This window comes from Homo sapiens, chromosome 19 (assembly GCF_000001405.40).
Source record: "Homo sapiens chromosome 19, GRCh38.p14 Primary Assembly".
NCBI lineage: Eukaryota > Metazoa > Chordata > Mammalia > Primates > Hominidae > Homo > Homo sapiens.
Genome location: NC_000019.10, coordinates 41,966,448 through 41,994,407, shown reverse-complemented (window position 1 = coordinate 41,994,407; position 27,960 = coordinate 41,966,448). Strand labels below are relative to the sequence as shown.

Here is a 27,960-nt window from a genome sequence, read left to right as displayed (position 1 = left end):
GCAGCGCTCCCCCTTCGCGGCCGCGCCGCCACTTTGCGGAGCCCAAGGGGAGGACAGCTGCAGTACCAGGGGCGGGGCCGCGGGCCGTCCGTCAGCACGGCGGCGCCCCTGATTGGCCAGCGCCGCCCCCCTCCCGCGGACGCGGGCATATGAGGAGGCGGAGGCGGCGGCCGCCGCAGCCTCTGTGCGGTGGGACCAACGGACGGACGGACGGACGCGCGCACCTACCGAGGCGCGGGCGCTGCAGAGGCTCCCAGCCCAAGCCTGAGCCTGAGCCCGCCCCGAGGTCCCCGCCCCGCCCGCCTGGCTCTCTCGCCGCGGAGCCGCCAAGATGGGGGTAGGTGCTGAGCCGGCTGGGCGCCGCTTCCGTGTGACATTGTGGGGCCGGTGACATTGGGTGTGCGCGGGGGGCGGGGGCACCGGGACCCCTGCGCTCCGGGGCCAGGCCTGCGAGACCCGGGGAGCCGGCTGACCCAGCCAATCCATGTGGTCGTGGGGCCGCAGGGGGCGGCGGGGGGTCTGTGGCGCACGTTGGCATGGCTTTGTGTGCGGAGATCCGCGAGGTTGTGGGCCAGCCCTCAGCATCTCCGCCTGACCTTGTGCGGTTGCATGTGCACAGTTGCATGTGCGTATGAGAGCTGCTGGCTCTGTCAGGCCCTGGCAGCGAGTGTGTGGGCCCCGTGGTGTCTGAAAGTCTGCGATCGCGTCTGGGTGTGTCTGTGAGAGCTCGTGTTAGTGCGTCTGGGGTTATTGAGGCCCCCCTGCTTCCCTGGCAGGGTGCGGATAGGTCCACGTTGTGGGATGGACACCAGATGACCTCTCTTTCTCCTTCCAGGCCTGGATGGGGGGACTCCGCAGTGTGTGTGTGTGTGTGTGTGTGTGTGTGTGTGTGTGTGTGTGTGTGTGCAGGCTCCGCAGTGTCGCAGCCTGGGGCTGCAGTGTGTGTGTGTGCAGCCCCTCATGTAGGGGAGCAGGCATGGGAGGCTGGGAGGAGGAGAGGAACAGGAGAGCCACGGTGGGGAGACTGAGTGCACAGCTGAGGGTGTGCGTGTGCAACTGTGTAGTGGGGAGCGTGCATGCCTGGCTGTGTCCTTGCCTCTGTGTCCGTGTGTCCTTGTCTGTCTGTGAGTCTCTCCAGCAGATGCCGCCTCCCTCCCTGGCTGACCACCTGACCCTTGCTGCAGCCCTGGATTCCTCCCTGTGTGTCTGGGGCGGGGCTGAAGGGAGGGGGAATCAGGAGAGGAGGGGGTGGGTGGGGGTAGGTGGGATGAAGAGGGCGGGAGAGGCCAGTGGAGGGAGAATAGGAGGGCTGGGGAGAAAGATGGCGGATAAAGGCTGATGGGCCCAGGGATGGAGGTGGGGGATGGGGCTGCAGATCTGTGGGGTGGGGCAGGGTGGGCCGGGGGGCTGGGAAGGAGGATTGGGTTGGGGCAGGACTAGGGGAGAGAAGGGAGAAAGGGGTAGTCAGTGATGGCTGTCAGGTAAGTGGGATGGAGGGAGGGAAGCTGTGGATGGATTGGGAGAAGACTGATGCTAAAAGCCCTAGAGAAGGAAGTTAGAGGGAGGTGGTCTTAGGAAACGGAGTGGGGACGAGAGGAGAAATGAAGGCAGCTTAGACATGGGAAGGAAAGACAGAGACACATGGAAAGACAGAGATGCTCTGAAAGAGACAGAGAAAGAGACATGGACATAGAGACAAAGAGACAGAGACAAGCAGAGAGACATGGCTGAGACACATGGAGAGACATTGAGAGAGAAAATGAGAAACTGAGGCTCAGAGGAAGAGACACAAGGACAGATATTTCCTATCTAGCGGCAACCACAGTCAGCCTGAGGGACAGGAAGAGGAGGCAGAGGGCAAAGGGGGAGGTCAAGGGAGGGATGGTCAGAGATGTGGGCCAGGTCCCCTGCGAGGGGGAAGGGAGGCCGGCCCAGGCGCAGAGGCTGCGGGAGCTGGCACCAGATCAGGGAGAGGCGGACAGCATGGAAAATGGCAAGGAGCTGCAGAGGCGGCCACAGCGAGACAGGCATGGTCCCCACCCTTGGAGGTGCTCCCACCCCGCAGCGCGCCCATCTGGGCCTCCTGCCTTGACTGGGAAAGCCTCAGCTGTGCACTCCAACAGATGGGAGCCTGCTCCCCAAGGGGGTCTGGCTGTGTCAAGGGCAAGCAGGAGCCAAGGCCAGGGCCAGGGTGAGCCAGGAGTCCCAGGGTCCCGGTCCCTCCTCCCTCAGACCAGGAGTCCAGGCCCCAGCCCCTCCTCCCTCAGATCCAGGAGTCCAGGCCCCAGCCCCTCTTCCCTCAGACCAGGAGTCCAGGCCCCAGCCCCTCCTCCCTCAGACCAGGAGTCCAGGCCCCAGCCCCTCCTCCCTCAGATCCAGGAGTCCAGGCCCCAGCCCCTCCTCCCTCAGATCCAGGAGTCCAGGCCCCAGCCCCTCTTCCCTCAGACCAGGAATCCAGGCCCCAGCCCCTCCTCCCTCAGACCCAGGGGTCCAGGCCCAGCCCCTCCTCCCTCAGACCCAAGGGTCCAGCCCCAGCCCCTCCTCCCTCAGACCCAGGAGTCCAGGCCCTGGCCCCTCCTCCCTCAGACCCAGGATTCCAGGCTCCCAGTCCTTCCTCCCTCAGACCCAGGGGTCCAGACCCCTGCCCCTCCTCCCTCAGACCCAGGGATCCAGGACCCCAGCCTCTCTCAGTATCTGAGAGTCCGGCCCAGCCCTTAGCATTTATGGGGCCCCGAGCATCAGCTCCCAGCCTTCAACTAAGGTTTCTGGGTGGGCAGCTGATTTTCTCCCTCTCTCTCTCCTGACCCCCATCTCACCCCTCTCCTGGCCTCCTGCACAGGACTTGACCCCAGGCCTTTGTAGCTCCACATCTCTCCATCTCTCCATGTCTCTCCATCCTGGGTCTACCCCATCGGGCAAAGCTGAGACCACCCCGGCACTGTAGGGCAGTAGGAAAGATGGTCTCCCCGTCCCCCAAGCCTCTGTGCCTCCGCATCTGAGACGCAGTGCTGCTGCAGGGCTGGCGTGGGGCCAAGCCTCCCTCCCACCCCCTGCACCCCTTCTTGAGGCTCCCAGATCTCCAGGCTGCTGCCCCTCCCTGCACACCCCCACCCTCCGACTCAGCCTCTGGGTCTGGGGGCAGACAGCAGGCAGCTCAGGCCCTCTACAAGGTCACGAGGAGATTAGCGCTGAGCCGCGCTGAGCCTCCGATCCCAGCTTGGCCCTGGGCCTGCGGGACCTGTCAGCGGCCCCTGCAGCACCCAGCCTCGCCCCACCCCTCCCACCAGCCTCGGACACTGCCCTCCCCATCCGCCCAGGCTCCCAAACTGGAACTTCAGGGACTCACACCATGCGCAGTTCAAGCCAGGACTAGGGCTTCTGCCTCTAACTCTCCTGCTCTGTCCTCCAGGAACCTGGCCATGCCCAGCCTCTGTTAAGGACGCTCCATGGGCCCAACACATGGAAGATCCCAGAGAGAGGCAGAGACAGAGATAGAGGAAGGTACCAGAGGGAGACAGTGAGAGAGACAGAGACAGAGAGACATAGACAGAGATAGAGAGGCAGATTCCAGAGACAGAGAGAGGAGATCTCAGAGAGACAGAAATAGAGAATAAGATCCCAGAGAGAAAGTGAGAGAAAGAGACAGAGAGAGAGAGGAAGATCCCAGAGACAGACAGCGAAAGAGAGAGGAAGATCCTACAAAAAGAGACAGATATATATATATATATATATGGACAGAGAGAGAGAGAAAGAGAGAGAGAGATTGAGGAGAGCCCAGAGAGAGACAGTGGGAGAAAGAGAGACAGAGAGGAAAATTCCAGGATGAGGTAGTAAGAGAGAGAAAGAGAATGAGAGATATATGGGGAAGGAGGGGGACGGAAGATTTGAGAGAGACAGAGAGAGGGAGAGAGAGAAAGAGAATGAGAGATATATGGGGAAGGAGGGGGACGGAAGATTTGAGAGAGACAGAGAGAGGGAGAGAGAGAAAGAGAATGAGAGATATATGGGGAAGGAGGGGGACGGAAGATTTGAGAGAGACAGAGAGAGGGAGAGAGAGAGAGAGAAAGAGAAAGAGAGGAGATCTTAGTGATAGTGAGAGAGAAAGAGAGATTCAGAGATAGAGAGGAGATCCCAGAGAGAGAGAGTGGGAGAGAGACAGAGATAGGCAGATCCCAGAGAGAGATATTAGAGAGACAGAGAGAGAGACAGAGAGAGGTTGAAACAGGAAAAGAGACAGGTAGGGAGAGATGTGAGCATCCCAGAGGAGACAGCTTGAGAGATGAAGATAGAGACACAATGACAGAGAGAGACAGACCGAAAGACGGAAAAAGACAGAGACAGAAAGTACTGATCCTTGAGACGCCAACTCAGAGGGAAATAAGAACCCAGAGAGACAGAAACTCAGCCAGACCTGGGGAGACACAGCCAAGAGATGGAGACAGACATCATGCAAGGCAGAGAGACAAAGAACCAGAGATCAGAGAGAGACAAAATCATAGAAAGACACATGCAGAGAGACCCAGAGACTGGGATCAGGATAGAGAATGACAGAGACAACATAAAGAGATCAGAGCGATAGAGAGAGAGAGAGAGCTATCAAGAGAGAGAAACAGCCTTGCAAAGACAGAGATACAGAGATGGAGAGATAAAGAGACAGGAGACAGAGAGATGATGAAACAAAGCAATAAGACCAAGAGCCAAAAACAGACCTGGAGATACACATCAAGGGAGACAGACAGAGGAGAAAGAGATGGAGATACACGTGGAGACATAGAAAAGACAGATACGAGGCCGGGCACGGTGGCTCACGCCTGTAATCCCAGCACTTTGGGAGGCCGAGACGGGCGGATCACGAGGTCAGGAGATTGCGACCATCCTGGCTAACACAGTGAAACCCTGTCTCTACTAAAAATACAAAAAAATGAGCCGGGCGTAGTGGCGGGCGCCTGTAGTCCCAGCTACTCGGGAGGCTGAGGCAGGAGAATGGCGTGAACCTGGGAGGCGGAGCTTGCAGTGAGCTGAGATCATGCCACTGCACTCCAGCCTAGGCGACTAAGCGAGACTCCGTCTCAAAAAAAAAAAAAAAAAAAAGACAGATATGTAGGAAGGTTGGACAGGGCCAGGGAGAGGGAAGAAGAGACAGAAGCAGAGTTAAAATGTCACATAGAGGTGGGGCACGGTGGCTTATTCCTATAATCCCAACAGTTTGGGAGGCTAAAGCAGGAGGATCGCTTGAGTCCAGGAGTTAGAGACCAGCCTGGGCAGTGTAGTGAGACCCCATTTCTAGAAAAAAATTAAAAATTAGCCGGGCGTGGTGGCACACACCTGTAGTCCCAGCTACACAGGAGGCGGAGGCGGGAGGATCACCTGAGCCTCAGAAGTCGAGGCTGCAGTGAGCTGTGATTGCTGCACTCCAGCCTGGGCATCAGAGTGAGACATTGTTTCAAAAAACGAAAACAAAGTCACATAGACACAGAACACAAAAGGGGAGAGCCCCGCAAAGATGGGCACAGAAACAGAGAGAGACTGAAACACAGGCAGAAGCCAGACAGGGACCTTCGGGGACAGAGACTCAGAGACACACAGAACCAGAGACAGGGAAGCTGATTGCAGCAGATGAGACTCACGAGGCCTGAGAGTCACCAGAGGCAGAAGGGAGGTGAAGTCACCCAGAGGCTCCGGGAGACACAGGGAGACCCCGAGAGGCAGACAGAGACCCCCCACCCAGAGATGCAGGGGCACCGGCCAGGAGGATAGCTGGGGCATGGAGGGCCGGTGTCCTCCTGGAACCCCTTCTCGCCCGCAGTCTGGTGGCTCTGACAGCTATCGTATCGCCACCTCGCAGGACAAGAAAGATGACAAGGACTCACCCAAGAAGAACAAGGGCAAGGAGCGCCGGGACCTGGATGACCTCAAGAAGGAGGTGGCTATGGTAAGCCTCGCCCTCTGCCCGCACACCCTCCCAGAGAACCTCGCCAGTTCTTGGCTGGCCTAGGCACTCACCGTCTCCCCCAAACTCCTGTTCCTCAGACAGAGCACAAGATGTCAGTGGAAGAGGTCTGCCGGAAATACAACACAGACTGTGTGCAGGTGTGGCCAGGCTGTGGGCTGGGACCCTGGGAACTAGGGAGGAGGAGCTGGGGGCTAGGACCCCTGGGTCTGAGGGAGGAGGGGCTGTGGCTGGTGTCTTAAGTTCTGGGGGTCTGGTGAAGGCCTGGGGTGCCAGGGTTGCCCAGGGAGGGTTCTGTGTGAGTCCTCTGTCCCTCAGGGTTTGACCCACAGCAAAGCCCAGGAGATCCTGGCCCGGGATGGGCCTAACGCACTCACGCCACCGCCTACCACCCCAGAGTGGGTCAAGTTTTGCCGGCAGCTCTTCGGGGGCTTCTCCATCCTGCTGTGGATCGGGGCTATCCTCTGCTTCCTGGCCTACGGTATCCAGGCGGGCACCGAGGACGACCCCTCTGGTGACAACGTGAGTGCCTGGACCCTGCCCTGTGCAAGGCTCTGCACATTTATTTACGGACACCGCACCCCAACTTCTTCCCATCCCTCTAAGCTTTTCACAGCCCACTCTCCCCCTTTTTCCCATCTAACTCACAATCACCCAGCAAGAGAACCAGATCAAATACAAGGCAAACTGAGGCTCAGAAAAGCCAGGCTACTTGTCCAAGGCCCCACAGCAGGATGTGTGAGCCGGGGCTCTGTCCCAAGGCTGTGTGACCTCAGCGGCCTTGAGAACAGACACCAGCAGGTGGTCATGGCTTGACAGATACCCAGAGTGAGTGTCACATAGAGACCCAGGCACACCCCGCTGCTGATACATCAGGGCCCATCCCCATAACACAGGGACACATTCGAGATGCAGCCTCAGATCCCATGCGCATAACACAGACCACACACCAGCCACACAGAGCTGCTCACCTGGGTAGGCGTGTGTGCACACACACGCATGTGCACGGAGGGTCAACGCAGATGCCACACCAGGATGTGGTTTCAAACATGGCCACCTAATTCAGAAACACAGACACAGACTCAGATATACACTGACAGAGAAACTCACACACACACTGACACGCACACACACACACAGCAATGCAGGCATAACCTGGTGACAGAGAGACATGAGAGTCAGGCACAGAGAGTGTCCTCAGATGTTCAAATCTAAACAGTCTTAGACATAAGCTCTCACAGAGAGGCAGAGCTGGAGACACAGAGACAGAGATCCACACACAGAGAACCAAAGAAGCTGCCTTGTAGAATGTAAAGTCAGGCATGCAGCCAGTCAGACAGACACATGGACAGACAGCCGCATCCCAGACTCAACATGTGCAGGAGGACAGACACACACACAAAACAGATGGACAAGTCGGGCATGGTGGCTCACGCCTGTCATCCCAGCACCTTGGGAGGCCAAGGCAGGAGGGTAACTTGAGACCAGGAGTTCCAGTAGCCTGAGTAACATACCCAGACAGACCCAGCCTCTAAAAAAACACAAAACATAGCCGGGCCTGGTGGCGCACACCTGTAGTCCTAGCTACTCCGGAGGCTGAGGAGGGAGGATTGCTTGAATCTGGGAGGTTGAGGCTACAGTGAACTGAGATTGTGCCACTGTACTCCATCCTAGGCAGCAGAGCGAGACCCTGTCTCAAAAAAAAAAAAAAAAAAAAATGCCAGGAAAGATGGCTCACACCTGTAATCCCAGCACTTTGGGAGGCCAAGGTGATAGATCACAAGGTCAGGAGATCAAGACCATCCTAGCCAACATGGTGAAGCCCCATCTCTACTAAAAATACACAAAATTAGCCAGGTGTGGTGGCATGCACCTGTAGTCCCAGCTACTCAGGAGGCTGAGGCAGGAGGATCGCTTGAACCAGGAGGCGGAGATTGCAGTGAGCCAAGATCATGCCATTGCACTCCAGCCTGGGCGACAGAGTGAGACTCTGTCTCAAAAAAAAAATCGACAGACCCTTAGATTCAAACACAACCATTACAGAAAGAGGGACTCAAGCACAAACAGGGGAGACTCAGACACACCAACCCTCATAACCAACCTAGGGTCAGACACACAAATACAGACCCCCACTGACACAAAGCTCCCTTCCCAGACTCCAGGCGAGCAGGGACTGGTGGAGAGTGGCTTGGGCGGCCCCTGATCAACATCCCCACATCTCCCCACAGCTGTACCTGGGCATCGTGCTGGCGGCCGTGGTGATCATCACTGGCTGCTTCTCCTACTACCAGGAGGCCAAGAGCTCCAAGATCATGGAGTCCTTCAAGAACATGGTGCCCCAGGTGAAGGGTGCCCAGCAAGGGGCCAGACGGGGGTGTTAGTGTATGGGCTGGGGGCCGGGCCCAGTGACCCCCAGGCAGAGGGAGTCTGGGAGGTGACATTACTCCATCCCACCTCAGCAAGCCCTGGTGATCCGGGAAGGTGAGAAGATGCAGGTGAACGCTGAGGAGGTGGTGGTCGGGGACCTGGTGGAGATCAAGGGTGGAGACCGAGTGCCAGCTGACCTGCGGATCATCTCAGCCCACGGCTGCAAGGTGGGCCTGGGCCTAGGGCCCGGCTTTACCCTCCCTCGGGCTGCCCAGGAGCTCAGGCCCAGCCCCTCCTCCCTCACACTCAGGAGTCCAGGTCCCAACCCCTCCTCCCTCAGACCCAGGAGTCCAGGCCCCCAGGCCCTCCTCCCTCAGACCCAGGAGTTTAGGCCCTGGGCCACCTCCTCACCCAACAGTCAGGAGTCCAGGCCCAGCCCTCACCTTTCGGAGATCCTTAGGGACCCTAGACCTTGGCCAGCAGCACTGTGCCTTCCCCACCTTCAAGATCCCAGCCTCTGGCCTCCCACACACCACTCACCCACTGGGCACCCAGGCTTCTAGCTGTGATCTCCAGGCACACAGGCTTCAGCCCCAAGCCCTGTACACAAATACCCTCCTGTCCCAGGCCCTGGACTGAACCCTCTCTCTGCTGCACCTACCCCCAGGTGGACAACTCCTCCCTGACTGGCGAATCCGAGCCCCAGACTCGCTCTCCCGACTGCACTCACGACAACCCCTTGGAGACTCGGAACATCACCTTCTTTTCCACCAACTGTGTGGAAGGTGAGGCGGGTGCAGAGAAGACACACAGCTGGGGCAGACACAGGGATGTGTCCCAGGGGGTCAGGCCTCCAGAACCTCCCTGAGCCACCCCACCTCAGCCTAACCCCTCTGGCCTGCAGGCACGGCTCGGGGCGTGGTGGTGGCCACGGGCGACCGCACTGTCATGGGCCGTATCGCCACCCTGGCATCAGGGCTGGAGGTGGGCAAGACGCCCATCGCCATCGAGATTGAGCACTTCATCCAGCTCATCACCGGCGTGGCTGTCTTCCTGGGTGTCTCCTTCTTCATCCTCTCCCTCATTCTCGGATACACCTGGCTTGAGGCTGTCATCTTCCTCATCGGCATCATCGTGGCCAATGTCCCAGAGGGTCTGCTGGCCACTGTCACTGTAAGGCCAGGCTCCTGGGTCTGGGTGGGGAGGGCCTGGGGGTCTGGGCTCCTGGGTCTGAGGGAGGAGGGGCTGGGATCCTGGACCCCTGAGTCTGAGGGAGGAGGGGCTAGAGGCCTGGACCCGTGTGTCTGGGGGAGGAGGGGCTGGGATCTGGACCCCTGGGTCCGGAGAAGGGGCTGGGGGCCTGGATCACAGTATTCTTGTGAAAGACAACTTGGGCCTGACTCAGAGGGCCTCATTAACAAAGCAAACAATCAAAGAAAGAAACAAACAAAAATCTTGAGAAACACTGGCAAGCCGTAAAGAGCCAACAATCCTATTGCAAAATTAAGAAGTGCACGCTCATGATGAAAAGTTGAAGAGTACATCAAGTTAAAAAATAAAATAATGAGGCTGGGTGCACTGGCTCACGCTGTAATCCCAGCACTTTGGGGGGCCAAGGCGGGCAGATCAGCTGAGGTCAGGAGTTCAAGACTAGCCTGGCCAACATGGTGAAACCCTGTCTCTACTGAAAATACAAAATTAGTGGGGCGTGGTGGCACATGCCTGTAATCCCAGCTACTCAGGAGGCTGAGGCAGGAGAATCGCTTGAACCTGGGAGGCGGAGGTTGCAGTGAGCCAAGATCACGCCATTGCACTCCAGCCTGGGTGACAAGAGTGAAACTCCATCTCAAAAATAAATAAATAAATAAATAAAATAAAATAATAAGCCTGGCGCAGTGGCTCACGCCTTTAATCCCAACAGTTTGGGAGGCTGAGGCAGGAGGACTGCTTGAGGTCAGGAGTTTGAGACAAGCCTGGACAACATAGTAAGAACCCATCTCTACCAAAAAATGTGAAGGCTGGGCGCAGTGGCTCATGCCTGTAGTCCCAAGACTTTGGGAGGCCGAGGCGGGTGGATCACCTGAGGTCAGGAGTTCGAGACCAGACTGGCCAACATGGCAAAACCCCATCTCTACTAAAAGTATAAAAATTAGCCAGGCGTGGTGATGGGTGCCTGGAATCCCAGCTACTCAGGAGGCTGAGACAGGAGAATAGCTTGAGCCTAGGAGGCAGAGCTTGCAGTGAGCCGAGATCGTGCCACCTCACTCCAGCCTGGGCGACAAAAGCGAGATTCTGTCTCAAAAAAAAAAAAAAAAAAAAAAAAATTTTTTTAAATTAGCCAGGCGTGGTGGTACATGTCTGTAGTTCCAGCTATTTGGGAGGCTGACCCGGGAGGTTGAGGCTGTAGTGGGCCATGATTGAACCACTGCACTCTAGCCTGTGTGACAGAGGGAGACTCCATCTCAAGAAAATAATAATAATAATAATTATTATAATAATAATAATTATTATTATTATTTTTAAAAATTTTTTCTCTGGCTGCTTTGCTGCCAGCTTCACCCCAGAAGTCCATTCTCTGTGAGGTTCCGCCTGACAGCTGTGAGCATATTGACTAAATGCTGTCTTCAAGGTGCATGGCAGGGACTATCTTAGAAATACCATTCTCCTCTTTCATTCTTTGACTTAATGTTTTATGTGAAGTTTTCCATATTAGGGCCGGGCAGGGTGGCTCACGCCTGTAATCCCAGCACTTTGGGAATCCGAGGTGGGTGGATCACTTGAGGTCAGGAGTTCAAGACCAGCCTGGCCAACATGGCAAAACCCCATCTCTACTAAAAATACAAAAATTAGCCAGGCGTGATGGTGGGCGCCTGTAATCCCAGCTACTTGGGAGGCTGAGGCACAAGAATTGCTTGAACCTGGGAGGTGGAGGTTGCAGTGAGCTGAGATCGAGCCACTGCACTCCAGCCTGGACGACAGAGCAAGACTGTGTCTCAAAAAAAAAAAAAGTTTACTGTTTTCCATATTAGCAATGTTGAATGCTACCCTATGTCAAATGGATTTTTATACGCAAAGGATTAAGCATATTGTGAGCACATAGTCTGATGATTTGGGGCAAACTGAACAGAATCACGTCAGCTGCAACGAGACTGCGTCTCCCTGAAGCCCCCTCAAGACCTTATTTAGCCCCTGCCCCCCAACCCAAGGGTAACCCCTGATCTGGCTGCTAACAGCATAGATTAACTTTGCCTGTGTTCAAACTTCCTATTAACGGAATAATTCAGTATGAACTCATTTCTGGCTCTTTTTGGCTGAACATGTTTTTGACGTTCACCCATGCAGGTGCAGGCAGCAGTAATGTATTTGTTTTTATCAATGTTAGTATTCCATTGTCCACAATTTATCTTTTCTGCTGTTAGTGGACATTTGAGTAGTTTGCAGTTTTGGACAATTTTTTTTTTTTTTGAGTTGGAGTCTCACTCTGTTGCCCAGGCTGGAGTGCAGTGTCACGATTTCGGATCACTGCAACCTCCACCTCCTGGGTTCAAGGGGTTCTCGTGCCTCAGCTTCCCAAGTAGCTGGGATGACAGGAGTGTACCATCATGCCCTGCTAATTTCTGTATTTTTAGTAGGGATGGGGTTTCACCATGTTAGCCAGGCTGGTCTCGAACTCCTGATCTCAAGTGATGCGCCTACCTCGGCCTCCCAAAGTGCTGGGATTACAGGCGTGAGCCACTGCACCTGGCTGTTTTGCACTATTATGCATGTGGCTGCTATGAGCATTCTAGTCCCTGTCTTTGGGTGTCTCTGCCCTGTTTCTATTGGTCTGAATTGGGGGTGGCATTGCTGGGTGCTGCCTCATTCTTTTCCAGGCCCTCAGGATTCTCTGGGGGCTGGGCAGCTGGGCTGTGGCCCTCGTGTCGCTCATCCAACCCTGCTGCCGGGCTTGTCCCTGTAACTTGCCTGCCCTTGCTCGTCCTCCAGGTGTGTCTGACGCTGACCGCCAAGCGCATGGCCCGGAAGAACTGCCTGGTGAAGAACCTGGAGGCTGTAGAAACCCTGGGCTCCACGTCCACCATCTGCTCAGATAAGACAGGGACCCTCACTCAGAACCGCATGACAGTCGCCCACATGTGGTTTGACAACCAGATCCACGAGGCTGACACCACTGAGGACCAGTCAGGTGAGCGCAGGCCCCGGGTGAGGACCATGGGGGCCTGGCTCCAGGAGTCCCTGGCCCTCACACATGCCTCCCCCAGGGACCTCATTTGACAAGAGTTCGCACACCTGGGTGGCCCTGTCTCACATCGCTGGGCTCTGCAATCGCGCTGTCTTCAAGGGTGGTCAGGACAACATCCCTGTGCTCAAGGTGGGTTCAGCTACTGGCCTCACCTCGGCCCTGCCTGTGTCCTCCCCTCAGCTGTCCCTGTTCTGACAACCCTTTCTCCTTGCAGAGGGATGTGGCTGGGGATGCGTCTGAGTCTGCCCTGCTCAAGTGCATCGAGCTGTCCTCTGGCTCCGTGAAGCTGATGCGTGAACGCAACAAGAAAGTGGCTGAGATTCCCTTCAATTCCACCAACAAATACCAGGTACTCTGGGCTTTCCGGGAGAGCCAGCCTGGACCTCAGGTTCCTTATGACGCCTGTAAAGAGGTGTCATAGAGCCTTGATTTTCCCGTCTGTAAAATGGGAATGATAATACCCGCCTGGTGGGGAGAGGAACAGGGAGAGCTTGAGAGTGGGAGCCGGATCTCTGTTGGAGTGAGACGCTGAGGAGTAAAGATCTTCCTGCAGGCCAGGCGCGGTGGCTCACACCTTTAACACCAGAACTTTGGGAGGCTGAGGTGGGGGGATCACTTGAGGCCAGGAGTTCGAGACGAGCCTGGGCAAGATGGCAAAACCCCATCTGTACGAAATTTTTTTTTTAATTAGCCAGGTGTGGTGGTATGTGCCTGTGGTCTCAGCGATTTGGGAGTCTGAGGCAGGAGGATTGCCTGAGCCGGGGAGGTTGGGGCTGCAGAGAGCCTACATCACGCACTGTACTCCAGCCTGGGTGACAGAGCAAGACCCTGACTCAAAAAAAAAAAAAAAGTTTTCCTACAGCAGAGAGTGGGAACAAGCAGGAGACCTCTTGGGGCAGAGCAGCAACTTTAAATTATTCAGCAAACTTTTTTTTTTTTTGAGACAGAGTTTCGCTCTGTCACCCAGGCTGGAGTGCAGTGGCGCGATCTCAGCTCACTGCAAGCTCCACCTCCCGGGTTCACACCATTCTCCTGCCTCAGCCTCCAGAATAGCTGGGACTACAGGCGCCCGCCACCATGCCCAGCTAATTTTTTGTATTTTTAGTAGAGACGGGGTTTCACCGTGTTAGCCAGGATGGTCTCGATCTCCTGACCTCGTGATCTGCCCGCCTCAGCCTCCCAAAGTGCTGGGATTACAGGCATGAGCCACCGCGCCCGGCCTCAGTAAACTTTTTTTTGAGATGGAGTCTTGCTCTGTCGCCCAGGCTAAAAGGCAGTGGTGTGATCTTGGCTCACTGCAACCTCTGTCTCTGGGTTCAAGTGATTCTCATATCTCAGCCTCCCGAGTAGCTGGAATTAGAGGCGTGCACCACCACACCCAGCTAGTTTTTGTATTTTTAGTATTGATGGGGTTTCATCATGTTGGCCAGGCTGGTCTTGAACTCCTGACCTCAAGTGATCCACCCACCTCGGCCTCCCAAAGTGCTGGGATTACAGGCATAAGCCATCATGCCCGGCCCATTCAGTATACATTTTTTGACCAGCCACCACATGTTAGGCCCTGTTTTGGGTGCTGGGTGTACACACAGTAGTGAGTGACATGGTGAAGTCACCCCTCTCTGAGACTTACGCTCTGGTTCTAGAAGACAGACAATAACAAAGGCATGAGGAGGTAATCGTAGTGGTTGTGGTGCTGAGGGAGGGAACCCTGCAGGTGTCTGGGGGAAGAGCGCTCCGGTAGCAGGCACAGCCTGTGCAAAGGCCCAGAGGCGGGAGTGTGCTGACGCATCTGAACACCAGCCAGCCAGCCAGTGCAGAGGGGCTGGGAGCCAGGGAGCGTGGTGGGGGTGGTGGGTGCTGGCCAGATCCTGTCAGGCCCCACGGGCATGGAGAGGACTTGGCTGTGACTCTGAGGAGCACACAAGCCTCCAGGGGGCTCTCAGCCAAAGAGAGACAGGAGTTGACTCAGAGCTTTTAAAATAACTTTATTAAGATATAATTAACATACCATAGCTCGTCCCTCTAAGTGTATAATTTAATAGTTTTAGTATATTCGCAGATATAGGCAGCCATCCACATAGTCAATTTTAGAGCATTTTCATCACCTCCAAAAAGAAACCCCACATCTCTCAGCTGTCACCCGCCCCCTCCTCCCCGACACTCCCAGCCCTAAGCAACCACTAACCTACTTTCTGTCCGTATGGTTTTGCCTATTCTGGACATTTCATAAAAATGGAAGCATACAGCTGGGTGTGGTGGCTCACGCCTGTAATCCCAGCACTTTGGGAGACCGAGGCAGGAGGATCGCTTGAACTCAGGAGATGGAGACCAGCGTGGGCAACATAGGGAGAGCATGTCTCTATAAAAAATTAGCCAGGCATGGTGGTGTGGACCTGTGGTCCCAGCTACGTGGGAGACCGAAGCGGGAGGATCGCATGAGCCTGGGAGATCAAGGCTGCAGTGAGCTGTGATCTCGCCACTGTTCTCCAGCCTGGGTGACAGAGTGAGACCCTGTCTTAAAAAAAAAAAACAGGGTGGGAGGAGGGGAGCACAGACGTGGTGGCTTATGCCTGTTATCCCAGCACTTTGAGAGGCCGATGAGGGCAGATCACTTGAGGCCAGGAGTTCAAGACCAGCCTGGCCAACATGGCAAAATCCCGTCTCTACTAAAAATACAAAAGTTAGCTGGGTGTGGTGGTGGTGCCTGTAATCCCAAGCTACTCCGGAGGCTGAGGCAGGAGAATTGCTTGAACCCAGGAGGTGGAGGTTGCAGTGAGCTGAGATCGTGCCACTGCACTCCAGCCTGGGCAACAGAGCGAGACTCTGTCTCAAAAAAAAAAGAAAAAAGAAAAAAAGAAAAAGAAAAAGAAATATATATCCATGACATAGACAGAGCGGACAGGAATGAGCAGAGGTCTCTGTGAGAGAGTGTGGGGGAGCCCTGGTGTGGGCCTATCCTGGCACCCGTGGCTCTGGACAGGGGACAGGATGGGGCAGGGAGCTTCCTGGTGTCTGCGTGGCTCAGGCACGCCACCCTCTGATCGGTCCCCAGCTCTCCATCCATGAGACCGAGGACCCCAACGACAACCGATACCTGCTGGTGATGAAGGGTGCCCCCGAGCGCATCCTGGACCGCTGCTCCACCATCCTGCTACAGGGCAAGGAGCAGCCTCTGGACGAGGAAATGAAGGAGGCCTTCCAGAATGCCTACCTTGAGCTCGGTGGCCTGGGCGAGCGCGTGCTTGGTGCGAGGCTGCCGGGCGGGCTCTGGGGTCCCTGGAGGGCAAGGAGGGTTGTGATGCTGCCCAAAGCCTGTCTCAGCCCAGGGCCTCCCAGAATATACTGTAAATGAATGAATGAATGAATGAATGGATGGATGAGAGGGGAAGGTATCCTAGGAAATGAATGCTGACTGGCCGTCTTGCTGATGGGGAGATGGAATGCGGGCGATGCAGACATCTAGGGGCATGGGGCGGAGGTTCCGAGGCTGGGACCCTCACACCCCAACCCTTCCCTGCCACTAGGTTTCTGCCATTATTACCTGCCCGAGGAGCAGTTCCCCAAGGGCTTTGCCTTCGACTGTGATGACGTGAACTTCACCACGGACAACCTCTGCTTTGTGGGCCTCATGTCCATGATCGACCCACCCCGGGCAGCCGTCCCTGACGCGGTGGGCAAGTGTCGCAGCGCAGGCATCAAGGTGTGGCTTGGGGTGGCTGGGGGAGGCAAAGCCAGGCGTGGGGCGGGAGAGGCCATCCCTAAAAAACAATGCCTGCAGGTCATCATGGTCACCGGCGATCACCCCATCACGGCCAAGGCCATTGCCAAGGGTGTGGGCATCATCTCTGAGGGCAACGAGACTGTGGAGGACATCGCCGCCCGGCTCAACATTCCCGTCAGCCAGGTTAACCCCCGGTGAGCCACCCATCCCAGCCAGGGCCCTGGACATCCCTCTAGGGTGTTGACACAGGGGGACCGCTTCCCCCCAACCTCCCTCTGCACTGCCTGTCCCATTCTTTCTGGGACTCCTCCATGGACCAGGCCCTGGGTCTGGCCCTCCCTCCGGTGTGGGGACATTGCAGCCACAGAGGTAGCCAGGCATAGGTTTGCATCCCAGCCTTTATTTTATTTTATTTATTTATTTATGTTTTTGAGATGGAGTCTTGCTCTGTCGCCCAGGCTGGAGTGCAGTGGGGCAACCTCAGCTCACTGCAGCCTCCGCCTCCCGGGTTCAAGCAATTATCTGCCTCAGCCTCTTGAGTAGCTGGGATTACAGGGGCCCTCCACCATGCCCCGCTAATTTTTTTTTTTTTTTTTTGTATTTTTAGTAGAGACGGGGGTTTCACTATGTTGGCCAGGCTGGTCTCGAACTCCTGACCTCAGGTGGTCCACCTGCCTTGGCCTCCCAAAGTGCTGGGATTACAGGCGTGAGCCACTGCGCCCGGCCTGCATTCCAGCTTATACCGCTCACAAGCTGTGTGACATTGGGCAAGTCCTTTAGCATCCATGAACTTCAGTTTGCCCATCTCTAAAATGGGCTACTAATAATTCCTATCTCAGAGGATTCAGTAGAATCCAGTACTTCTGTGTCTGTCTCTCTTTTTTCCTGTCTGTCTGTCATTGTCTCTCTTTTCTGTTCTGTTTTTCTGACTTCTTCAACTTTCCCATCCTCATACCTATCTCTGACTCTGCCTTCCTTCAGCTTGTCCATTTATCTCCGTTCCTCTGAATCCACTGTGTCTTGGCTGGGCGCAGTGGCTCACGCCTGTAATCCCAGCATTTTGGGAGGCCGAGGTGGGTGGATCACTTGAGGTCAGGAGTTCGAGAGCAGCCTGGCCAACATGGCAAAACCCCATCTGCACTAAAAATTAAAAAAAAATTAGCCAGGCGTGGTGGTGGGCACCTGTAATCCTATCTACTAGGGAGGCTGAGACAGGAAAATCACTTGAACCCAAGAAGCAAAGGTTGCAGTGAGCCGAGATTGCGCCACTGCACTCCAGCTTGGGTGACAGAGCGAGACTCCATCTCAAAAATAAATAAATAAATAATAAATAAATAAATAAATAAATCCACTGCCCCAAAGTCCTTCCTCAGGTCTGCCCGCACGCCCTGCTGCAGTAGCCCCCTTCTCCCCTGCTTCTCCCAGAGGCCTCTTCCCCCAGCCCCTGGTCCTCTGGCTCTCCTGGTTGTGGGGCTGGCCCCTCTGTTTCTCTGTCTTTCAGGGATCACTTTGCCACTCCTCACACACCCTGACCTCAGCCATCGCTCTCTCTGCTCTTCCCAGGGATGCCAAGGCCTGCGTGATCCACGGCACCGACCTCAAGGACTTCACCTCCGAGCAAATCGACGAGATCCTGCAGAATCACACCGAGATCGTCTTCGCCCGCACATCCCCCCAGCAGAAGCTCATCATTGTGGAGGGCTGTCAGAGACAGGTGGGCTGCGCTCCCGCAGAGGAGGGGACGGGGCCTTGACTCCTGGGTCCTCACTGAGGCCGGGGCCTGGTTTCCTGGGTCTGAGGGAGGAGGGGCTGGGGGTCTGGACCCCTGGGTCTGAGAGAGGAGGGTCTGGGGGCCTGGACTCCTGGGTCTGAGGGAGGAGGGGGCTGGGGACCTGGACCCTTGGGTCTGAGGGAGGGGGCCTGGACTTCTGGGTATGAGGGAAGAGGGGATAGGGGCCTGAACTCCTGGGTCTGAGGGAGGAGGGGGTGGGGGCCTGGACCCTTGGGTCTGAGGGAGGAGGGGCTGGGGGCCTGGACCCCTGGGTCTGAGGGAGGAGGGTCTGGGGGCCTGGACTGCTGAGTCTGAGGGAGAAGGAGGCTGGGGGCCTGGACCTCTGGGTCTGAGGGAGGAGGGTCTGGGGGTCTGGACCCCTGGGTCTGAGGGAGGAAGGTCTGGAGGCCTGAACTCCTAGGTCTGAGGGGAAGAGGAGGTTGGGGACCTGAACTTCTAGGTCTGAAGGAGGAGGGGGCTGGGGTCCTGGGCTTCTGGATCTGAGGGAGGGGACTCTGGGGACTGGCCTCTGGGTGTCATCCTTACCCTCTCTCCCTCCAGGGTGCAATTGTGGCTGTGACCGGGGATGGTGTGAACGACTCCCCCGCTCTGAAGAAGGCCGACATTGGGGTGGCCATGGGCATCGCTGGCTCTGACGTCTCCAAGCAGGCAGCTGACATGATCCTGCTGGACGACAACTTTGCCTCCATCGTCACAGGGGTGGAGGAGGGTGAGTTGGCCAGGGGTGGCCCTGGAGACCAGGGTCACTACCGGAGGCCTGAGACCAGCAAGGGGAACTGGCCAGGGCTGCAGGGGGATGTGTGGCAGAGACCACAGGCCCCCTGGCCCTGGAGGAGCCTGAGCCTGTCCTTTTCTGTCTTCCTCCCCTGTGGGGTCGGGAGCTCCCCTGGGCAGGACTGAGCTGACACACTTCAGGGTCCCTGCGTCATCCAGCCCAGGCCCCATCTGGTGGGTGAAGCTGACTTGGAGGCTTTTTAAAGATATTCTCAGCCAGGGGCGGCAGCCACGCCTGTAATCCCAGCACTTTGGAAGGCTGAAGCAGGCAGATCATGAGGTCAGAAGATCGAGACCATCCTGGCTAACATGGTGAAACCCCGTCTCTACTAAAAATACAAAAAATTAGCCGGGCATTGTGGCGGTTGCCTGTAGTCCCAGCTACTCGGGAGGCTGAGGCAGGAGAATTGCTTGAACCCAGGAGGTGGAGGTTGCAGTGAGCTGAGATTGCGCCACAGCACTCCAGCCTGGGGGACAGAGCGAGACTCCGTCTCAAAAAAAAAAAAAAATTCTCAAGCCCAACCAGGGGGAAGCCAGGGACCCTGGGGGATACCCCCTCTGCCAGCCTGGGCTGGGGGTCAAGGGAGCTTCCCAGAGTGGACAGGGATGGCTGAGCCAAGTCAGGGGCCATGCTGTGACGTCCACATAGACTAGTGCCAGGGAGTCGCAGGCAGAGGAACCGGTACACAGGCAAGGCGGTGTGAGGGGCTGGGTCTGAGGCTGGTGCTGCTGAGCCGACAGGCACCACCTCCTGACAGGCCCAGACAAGGCCACAGAAGGGTTGGTTCACATTCAGATTTATTTTGATCATCAAATTAATTCATGATAATCATAGACAAATGCAGAAAAGCATTCAGGAAAAAAGTAGAATCACCCGTAACCTCGCCATCCAGAAATAATCACGGTTCATGCCTTGGTGGATTTTCTTCCAATTTCTCTCTCCTATTTGAAATGTCTCTGGTGTAAAAAGTAGTTCATGGTAAAAGAGAATTCAAACGGCAAAGCCGAGCCCAGAGTAACAGATTAAATGTCCTCAGCCCTTGTCTCCTATATCCCAGAGGAAACCATGGTTAACACCTTCTTATCTCCCAAGAGACATCTTTTTTTGGGGGCTGGGGGCGGGGATAGAGTCTCAATCTGTCACCCAGGATGGAGTGCAGTGGCACAATCACGGCTAACTGCAGCCTCCACCTCCGGGACTTAATCGATCCTCCTGCCTCAGGCCCCTAAGTAGCTGAGACTACAGGTATGCACCATCACACCTGGCTGATTTTTAAGATTTTGTAGAGATGGGGTTTCGCCATGTTGCCCAGACTAGTCTTTCTTTTTTTTTGAGACAGAGTCTTGCTCTGTCACCCAGGCTGGAGTACAGGCATGCAATCTCGGCTTACTGTAGCCTCCACCTCCTGGGTTCAAGCAATTCTCCTGCTTCAGCCTCCCGAGTAGCTAGAATTACAGGTGCATGCCACCACACCAGGCTAATTTTTGTATTTTTAGTAGAGATGGGGTTTCACCATGTTAGCCAGGCTGGTCTTGATCTCCTGACCTGAAGTGATCCCCGCACCTTGGCCTCCCAAAGTGCTGGGATTGCAGGGGTGAGCCACCTCGCCCAGCGAGGTCTTCAACTCCTGGGCTCAAGCAATCCTCCCACCTTGGCCTCCCAATTTGCTGGGATTACAGGCATGAGCCACCACGCCTGGCCTCCCCAAGACATCTATGCATACACAGTACACACACTGTCTCAGATACAGCCGTCTGCTCCTTCCGAATCTTGTGCATCATGCTGGAAGCCTGGGAGGCAGCTGTGAGCAGAGCAGACACCATCCCTGTTCTCACAGGGCTGGAGAGACAGCCTTAAACAAGTTAACAGATATGTAATTACAAATTGTGATATATGCCCCGAAGAAAGCAGGCCGCTGTGATAGATAATAGTGAGGGTCCTGCCCAGATGGGGTGGACAGGGAAGGCCTCTCTGAAGTGAGGGAAGAAATACCTAACTTCCGTCAGGGGCCAGGCACGGGGGCTCACGCCTGTAATCCCAGCACTTTGGGAGACCAAGGCGGGAGGATCGCTTGAGCCCAGGAGTTCAAGACCTGCCTGTACAACAAATTAAGACCTCAAAGATCAAAAAATTTTAAAAATTAGCAGGGCGTGGTGTTGCACACCTGTAGTCTCAGAGACTTGGGGGGCTGAGGCAGGAGGATCACTTGAGCCTGGGTGGTCGAGGCTGCCATGAACCATGATGGTGCCACTGCACTCCAGCCTGGGATAGAGCGAGATCCGAGACCCTGTCTCAAACAAACAAACAAAATAACTTCCAACGGGGGCATTCCAGATATACCCAAAAGTAAAGCAAAGGCACAGTGGGCCCCTGCGCCTCCATCCCACCTGCAGCGGCAGTCAGCGCACGGCACACCTTGTTTCTTCCCCACCACCTGGAACACACACTGGATTATGCTGATGCACATTTGTCACCATTTCATCCATAAATAGTTTAGGATGAGAAACCCCTAGTTTGTGGAGAAGAGCACAATGCAGGGAACGAGAATATCAGGTGGGAGCGGCCCAGGCCCTTATTGCTATGCAAGAGACATCAAAGCAATCAAAGAAGCCACACCACAGGCAGCCTGCTTCACCTTCCCTTCCCTCCCTCCCTCCCTTCCTCCCTCCCTCCGTCCCTGCCTGCCTGCCTTCCTTCCTTCTTTCCTTCCTTCCTTCCTTCCTTCCTTCCTTCCTTCCTTCCTTCCTTCCTTCCTTCCCCTTCCTTCCTTCCTTCCCCCTCCCCTCCCCTCCCCTTTTTTTGATGGAGTCTTGCTCTGTTGCCAGGCTGGAGTGCAGTGGCGTGATGTTGGCTCACTGCAACCTCCACCTCCCAGCTTCAAGCGATTCTTCTGCCTCAGCTTCCCACATAGCTGGAACTACAGGCACACACCACCACTCCCAGCTAATTTTTTGTGTTTTAGTAGAGATGGGGTTTCACCATGTTGGCCAGGATAGTCTCGATCTCCTGACCTCGTGATCCACCCGCCTCAGCCTCCCAAAGTGCTGGGATTACAGGTGTTTGCCACCGTGCCCGCCTGTTCTTTCTTAATGATTGACCTCATTGTTCATGGGCTAATCTTTTTACTTATTTATTTATTTAGAGACAAGGTCTCACTCTGTTGCCCAGGCTGGAGCGCAGTGCTGCAATCATCAGTCACTGCAACCTCGACCTCCTCAAGTGATCCTCCCACCTCAGCCTCCCAAGTAGCTGCGACCACAGGCTCGAGCCACCGTGCCTGACTAATGTTTATTTTATTTTATTTTATTTTTTTGAGATGGAGTCTTGCTCTGTTGCCCAGGCTGGAGTGCAATGGCACAATTGCGGCTCACTGCAACGTCTGCCTCTGAGGTTCAAATGATTCTCCTGCCTCAGCCTCCCAAGTAGCTGGGGTTACAGGTGCCCACCACCACGCCCAGCTAATTTTTGTATTTTTAGTAGAGATGGGGTTTCATCATGTTGGCCAGGCTGGTCTTGAACTCTTGATCTCAGGCAATCCTCCTGCTTCGGTCTCCCAAAGTGTTGGGATTACAGGTGTGAGCCCCAGCGCCTGGCCTGGATTAATCTTTATTTTGTTTACTTTAGACAACCTGTACTGGTTGAATATTTATTGAGATATGGCATGCATACAGTGAGTTGGGCATATTATATCTCATTAAAATATTCAACCAGACAGGGTGTATAAATTTTTACACATGTACACAGCCATGCAACCACCAGACCCCAGTCAAGATAGAAAACCATTCCAGCCCCCCATTTAGGTTTTGTCTGCTCTCTTCCAGTCTATATCCCTCCTCCTAGACATAACCATTATCCTGACTTTTAGCCCAGAGACGGGTGCTGAGCCTGCTCCAGTTGGAGTTGGATGCTAAGAATGCTTTTGTGTCTGGCTCGTGTCACTCAGCACGGGATCCAAGGTCCAGCTGTGGAGTTGTGTCCGTAGCTCGCCCCTTCTTGCTGTGTAGTATTTGACTGCATGGATGTACCGTGGTTTATTCATCCCTCACCTGTTGATGGACATGGGGTTGACTCTGGCTTTTGGCTCTGATGAGTGGTGCTATGGTGAACATTCTCGTACTTGCTTTTCGCTGGGCATAAACAGTCCTCCTCTCTTTTGGGTATAAAACCTAGGAGTCGGATTACTCGGTCGGTGGGGTGGGGGATGTTTGATAGCAACTCCGAAACCATCTTCCAAAGTGGTTATTTCAAGAATGTTTCCACAAAGGCGATGTGGTTGGATGTTTATGTGGAAAGGTAGGTGGGTGAGGGGCCAGGTGTGGAGACTTATGCCTGTAATCCCAGCACTTCGGGAGGCTGAGATGGAATCACAGCCCAGAAATTAGACAAGCCTAGGAAAAGTGGTGAGACTCTGTCTCTACTAAAAATACAAAAATTAGCTGGACGTGGTGGCGCGTGACTGTAGTCTCAGCTACATGGGAGGCTGAGGCAGGAGGATCACTTGAGCCTGGGAGTCGAGGTTGCAGTGAGCCGTGATCATGCCACTGCACTGCAGCCTGGGCAACAGAGTGAGACCCTGTCCCAAAAAGAAAATAATGGTGGGTGGGCTGGGGGGTAGAAAAGGACGCTGGACAGGCCGGGCGCGGTGGCTCACGCCTGTAATCCCAGCACTTCAGGAGGCCGAGGAGGGCAGATCACGAGGTCAGGAGATTGAGACCATGCAGGCTAACACAGTGAAACCCCGTCTCTAATAAAAATACAAAAAAATTAGCCGGGCGTGGTGGCAGGTGCCTGTAGTGCCAGCTACTCGGGAGGCTGAGGCAGGAGAATGGCGTGAACCCGGGAGGCGGAGCCTGCAGTGAGCCGAGATCGCACCACTGCACTCCAGCCTGGGCAACACAGCGAGACTCTGTCTCAAAAAAAAAAAAAAAAAAAAAAAGGACGTTGGATGAGGGCAGAGGAGGGGCAGAGGGAGTGGGGCTCCCTGGCATGGGCGCCTGCTCTGAGCCTGCCTGTGCCACAGGCCGCCTGATCTTCGACAACCTAAAGAAGTCCATTGCCTACACCCTGACCAGCAATATCCCGGAGATCACGCCCTTCCTGCTGTTCATCATGGCCAACATCCCGCTGCCCCTGGGCACCATCACCATCCTCTGCATCGATCTGGGCACTGACATGGTGAGCCCTGGCAGCCACCCTTGGGGCCCAGGAGGGTGGAGTCCTCCCCTCTCCGGCTCACCCGGCCTCCTCCGCCTAGGTCCCTGCCATCTCACTGGCGTACGAGGCTGCCGAAAGCGACATCATGAAGAGACAGCCCAGGAACCCGCGGACGGACAAATTGGTCAATGAGAGACTCATCAGCATGGCCTACGGGCAGATTGGTGAGGCACCGGGGACTCCATCTCCTTACCACCCAGTGCCGGGCCTAGAGCAGTGCCTGGCCCACCGTGGGTGCTTGGGACCCTGGCATTGACTCAGGGGAGCAGACGTGGGCAGGACCAACCAGTGAGCTATCTGTGGGGGGGGTCTGCACCCCATCCTTCTCCACCTCCTCCTCTCTGCTGTTGATGTGTGCGGATCCCCAGAGGAGTGGAGCAGCCACCCTTGGGGGCTGTCCCAGCAAGCAGAGACTTCATGGCAGTGGTTCCAGGCCCAGGGAGGTCATTCCTGCGTAGGGAGCTCAAGCTGGGGATCCCCCAAGAATTCATGATGTTTAGGTGGCCTAGGTCAGGTGAGAGAGGGGCTCCAGGTTATCCCTCTGGGAGAGCCCTCTCTCCAAAGCCCCTGTCCCAGGTGGCCCACCCATCTCAGGGCCTCACCACCAAGTGAGACCTCAGGTCACCCTCTGGGAACCAATGTCCAGATAACAGGGCCAGGAGGGCATACTCCCCTCTCCAAGGAGGCCTCCGGGCCCTCTGAGGTGCCCTGGGTTGGCTGCTGGCCCCAATCTGAGCCTCTCCTCGGCTTCCTCTCTCCTCCTTCCAGGAATGATCCAGGCTCTCGGTGGCTTCTTCTCTTACTTTGTGATCCTGGCAGAAAATGGCTTCTTGCCCGGCAACCTGGTGGGCATCCGGCTGAACTGGGATGACCGCACCGTCAATGACCTGGAAGACAGTTACGGGCAGCAGTGGGTGAGTAGGGCAGGGTGCTGTGTCTCTGCCCACCGTAAGATCCCCGGGGTGAGCTGTTCCAGCCATGCATGGCCACTTCCTACGATGGCCCCCTCAGTCTCCCATGGCAGCATCAAGGCCTTTGCTGGGCACCTGGGGCTTCCTGGATGCCCTTGGCCCAGCCCATCTGGAGCCTTGTGTCCCACTGCTGGAGCTCTCTGCCCTGCCAGGCCTTCTTCCCCACCTCTGTCTGTCCCTTCAAAGCCCAGTTGCTGTCTGTCCTCCTTGGGAGGCCCACAGGGTCCTTATCCTCCTCCCTGGCCCCTGGTGGATGGTGAGATCACCATTAACCTTTCTTCTTCCTTGTACGTCTCCTGACTCCTCCCTCGGGACTATGAGCCCGCAGAAGGAAGACACACCTGAGGCCCTGAGGACCCCATGCAGGATGGGGCGGGGCAAAGAGCACCGGAACGTCGGGGTGGCGGCTAGGGCTGCAGTGCCACTAACTGACGTCCCGTGCCCTGGTCACCGCTCCTGCAGACATACGAGCAGAGGAAGGTGGTGGAGTTCACCTGCCACACGGCCTTCTTTGTGAGCATCGTTGTCGTCCAGTGGGCCGATCTGATCATCTGCAAGACCCGGAGGAACTCGGTCTTCCAGCAGGGCATGAAGTGAGGGCCGGGGGCACATGGTGACTGGACAGCCATCTGTCCTGTCCGAGTGTCTGTCTGTCTGTGTACTTCCTCTTGTGTCCTTGCTTTGGTTTTTTGTTGTTTTGTTGAGGCAGGGTCTCACTCTGTCACCCAGACTGGAGTTCAGTGGTGTAATCATAGCTCACTGCAGCCTCGACCTCCTGGGCTCAAGTGACCCACCCACCTCAGCCTCCTGAGTAGCTGAGACTACAGGTGTGCACCATCATATATGGCTAATTTTTATTTATTTATTTAGAGACAGAGTCTTGCTCTGTTGCCCAGGCTGGAGTGCAGTGGCACAATCTTGGCTCACTGCAACCTCCGCCTCCCGGGTTCAAGCGATTCTCATGCCTCAGCCTCCCAAGTAGCTGGGATTACAGGTACGCACCACCAGGCTCGGCTAATTTTTCGTATTTTTAGTAGAGTTTCACCATGTTGCCCAGGCTGGTCTCAAACTCCTGAGCTCAGGCAATCTTCCTGCCTCAGCCTCCCAGAGTGCTAGGATTACAGGTGTGAGCCACCATGCCCAGCCCATTTTGGGTTTTGCCACTGCACTGATTTTCTCTCAAGGGGTCCTGTGTGTCCTAGATTCTCTCTCAGCCTCTGTGTGTGTGGTGGAGGTGCCCCTGGCCTTTTCTTTTTATACCAGTGCCTCTCTGTGTCTGTCCCTGTCTCTGTGTCTGTTTCTGTCCCTGTCTCTGTGTCTGTCCCTGTGTCTGTCTCTCTGTCTGTCCCTGTCTGTCTCTGTGTCTGTCCCTGTCTCTGTGTCTGTCCCTGTCTTTTGTCTCTTTCTGTGTCACCATCGCTCTGCCTCTATCTTTGTCTCTCTCTGTCGGGGCATGTCTCCCCATCTCTGTCTCTCCCTATGTCTCTGCCTCTCTGTCTCTGTGTCTGTGCTGCTGTCTCTGGGTGTCTGCACTGTGCCTCCCCCTGTCTCTGCGGGGTGGCAGGTGCAGGGTGGGTGCTCTCTGGGCCCAGCCCTGCCCTTCTGTGCCTCCAGGAACAAGATCCTGATCTTCGGGCTGTTTGAGGAGACGGCCCTGGCTGCCTTCCTGTCCTACTGCCCCGGCATGGACGTGGCCCTGCGCATGTACCCTCTCAAGTGAGTGCCCCGCTGCCCCCAGCCCTGCCCACACCAGCGCCTGCCATGGAGCCTTCCCTTAGACTCAGCCTGAACCTCAGGCCCCACCTCCCCTGGTGTCCCCACTGCAGTCCCCATTCTGATGCCCCCGAGCCTCCCCCATAGGCTGCTCCCACCACGGATTACTCCGAAGACCCCAGGCCCCAGCCCCGCCCAGGGCACCCTCCACCTGTGAGCACGAAGGATCCTGGGAGACTGCCCCTCTGCGTCCCCTCCAGTCCCCTGAAACTCTGCCTCTCGTTAGGGCCCCGCACTCAAGCCCTCCTGCTCTCCCCTCTGCAGGCCCAGCTGGTGGTTCTGTGCCTTCCCCTACAGTTTCCTCATCTTCGTCTACGACGAAATCCGCAAACTCATCCTGCGCAGGAACCCAGGGGGTGAGGGAGCTCGGCAAGGCAGCCGAGGGGGGCGGGGGGCAGCAGGGTCTCAGGCAGCTGGTCCCAGGCTCCCCTCGCCCTGCTGGATGGCTCTGCCACCTGGTTCCCACTCTTCTCTCTCTTCCCATCTCTCCGGGCACCCACTCTGTCTTCTCACGGGTCTCTGTCTGTGTGGTTTCCTTGTCTCTCTCCCTCTCTGTCCCTCTCTCTGCTGGGCGGCTCGCCTTGCCTGTCTCTCTCCATCTCTTACTCTGTCTCTTTCTTTCCTTCTTTGTCTCTCCAGGTTGGGTGGAGAAGGAAACCTACTACTGACCTCAGCCCCACCACATCGCCCATCTCTTCCCCGTCCCCCAGGCCCAGGACCGCCCCTGTCAGTCCCCCCAATTTTGTATTCTGGGGGGAGGAGCCCTCTCTTCCTGTGGCCCCACCTTGGCCCCCACCCCCTCCACTATCTCCTGCCGCCCCCACTCTGGCTGGCTTCTCTCCCCTGCCCCAAACCTCTCTCCTCTCTCTTTTCTGTGTCAGTTTCTCTCCCTCTCCTCACCCCTCTATCCATTCCTCCCGCCCCAGCCACCTCCCTGGGCTCTTTTTTACTCCCCTTCAGCCCCCCGGCTGATGCCATCTCTGGTTCTGGACAATTATCAAATATATCAGTGGGGAGAGAGAAGCGGTGTGTGTGTTGTGCCTGCTTTCCAGACGGGGACTGCGGCTGGGACAGCATCCCCTCTGTTGGGGCGCGCTGCCAGGCGACTCTCGAAACTGCAGGAACTTAGCCTGGCACTGGCTTGGAAGTCACGGAAT

General features: G+C 56.0%; 1 protein-coding gene across 4 annotated transcripts, besides 1 other annotated feature; it reads left to right on the top strand.

Moving 5' to 3' along the window:
* Window positions 5–444: a silencer, noted in NCBI's record as "silent region_10681". NCBI's record gives its function as "represses an Ori minimal core promoter by ATAC-STARR-seq in GM12878 lymphoblastoid cells {active_cell/tissue: GM12878}" and the evidence as "EXISTENCE:reporter gene assay evidence [ECO:0000049][PMID:35858748]".
* Window positions 178–27,826, top strand: ATP1A3 (ATPase Na+/K+ transporting subunit alpha 3). 4 transcript variants are annotated; one of them, NM_152296.5, is made up of 23 exons: window positions 178–337; window positions 5,846–5,932; window positions 6,031–6,090; window positions 6,269–6,472; window positions 8,179–8,292; window positions 8,410–8,544; window positions 8,985–9,102; window positions 9,222–9,490; window positions 12,302–12,500; window positions 12,577–12,686; window positions 12,772–12,906; window positions 15,610–15,802; window positions 16,082–16,257; window positions 16,336–16,472; window positions 17,842–17,992; window positions 18,611–18,779; window positions 23,866–24,020; window positions 24,100–24,223; window positions 24,828–24,973; window positions 25,493–25,623; window positions 26,645–26,746; window positions 27,068–27,159; window positions 27,443–27,826. In NM_152296.5, the coding sequence occupies exons 1-23, from the start codon at window positions 332–334 to the stop codon at window positions 27,469–27,471; spliced, it is 3,042 nt and encodes a 1,013-aa protein (NP_689509.1). In that variant the 5' UTR covers window positions 178–331; the 3' UTR covers window positions 27,472–27,826. The 4 variants fall into 4 exon arrangements, with proteins under 4 accessions (NP_689509.1, NP_001243143.1, NP_001243142.1 ...); NM_001256214.2 differs by having other exon boundaries at window positions 5,807–5,932; NM_001256213.2 differs by lacking the exon at window positions 178–337 and adding an exon at window positions 941–1,015.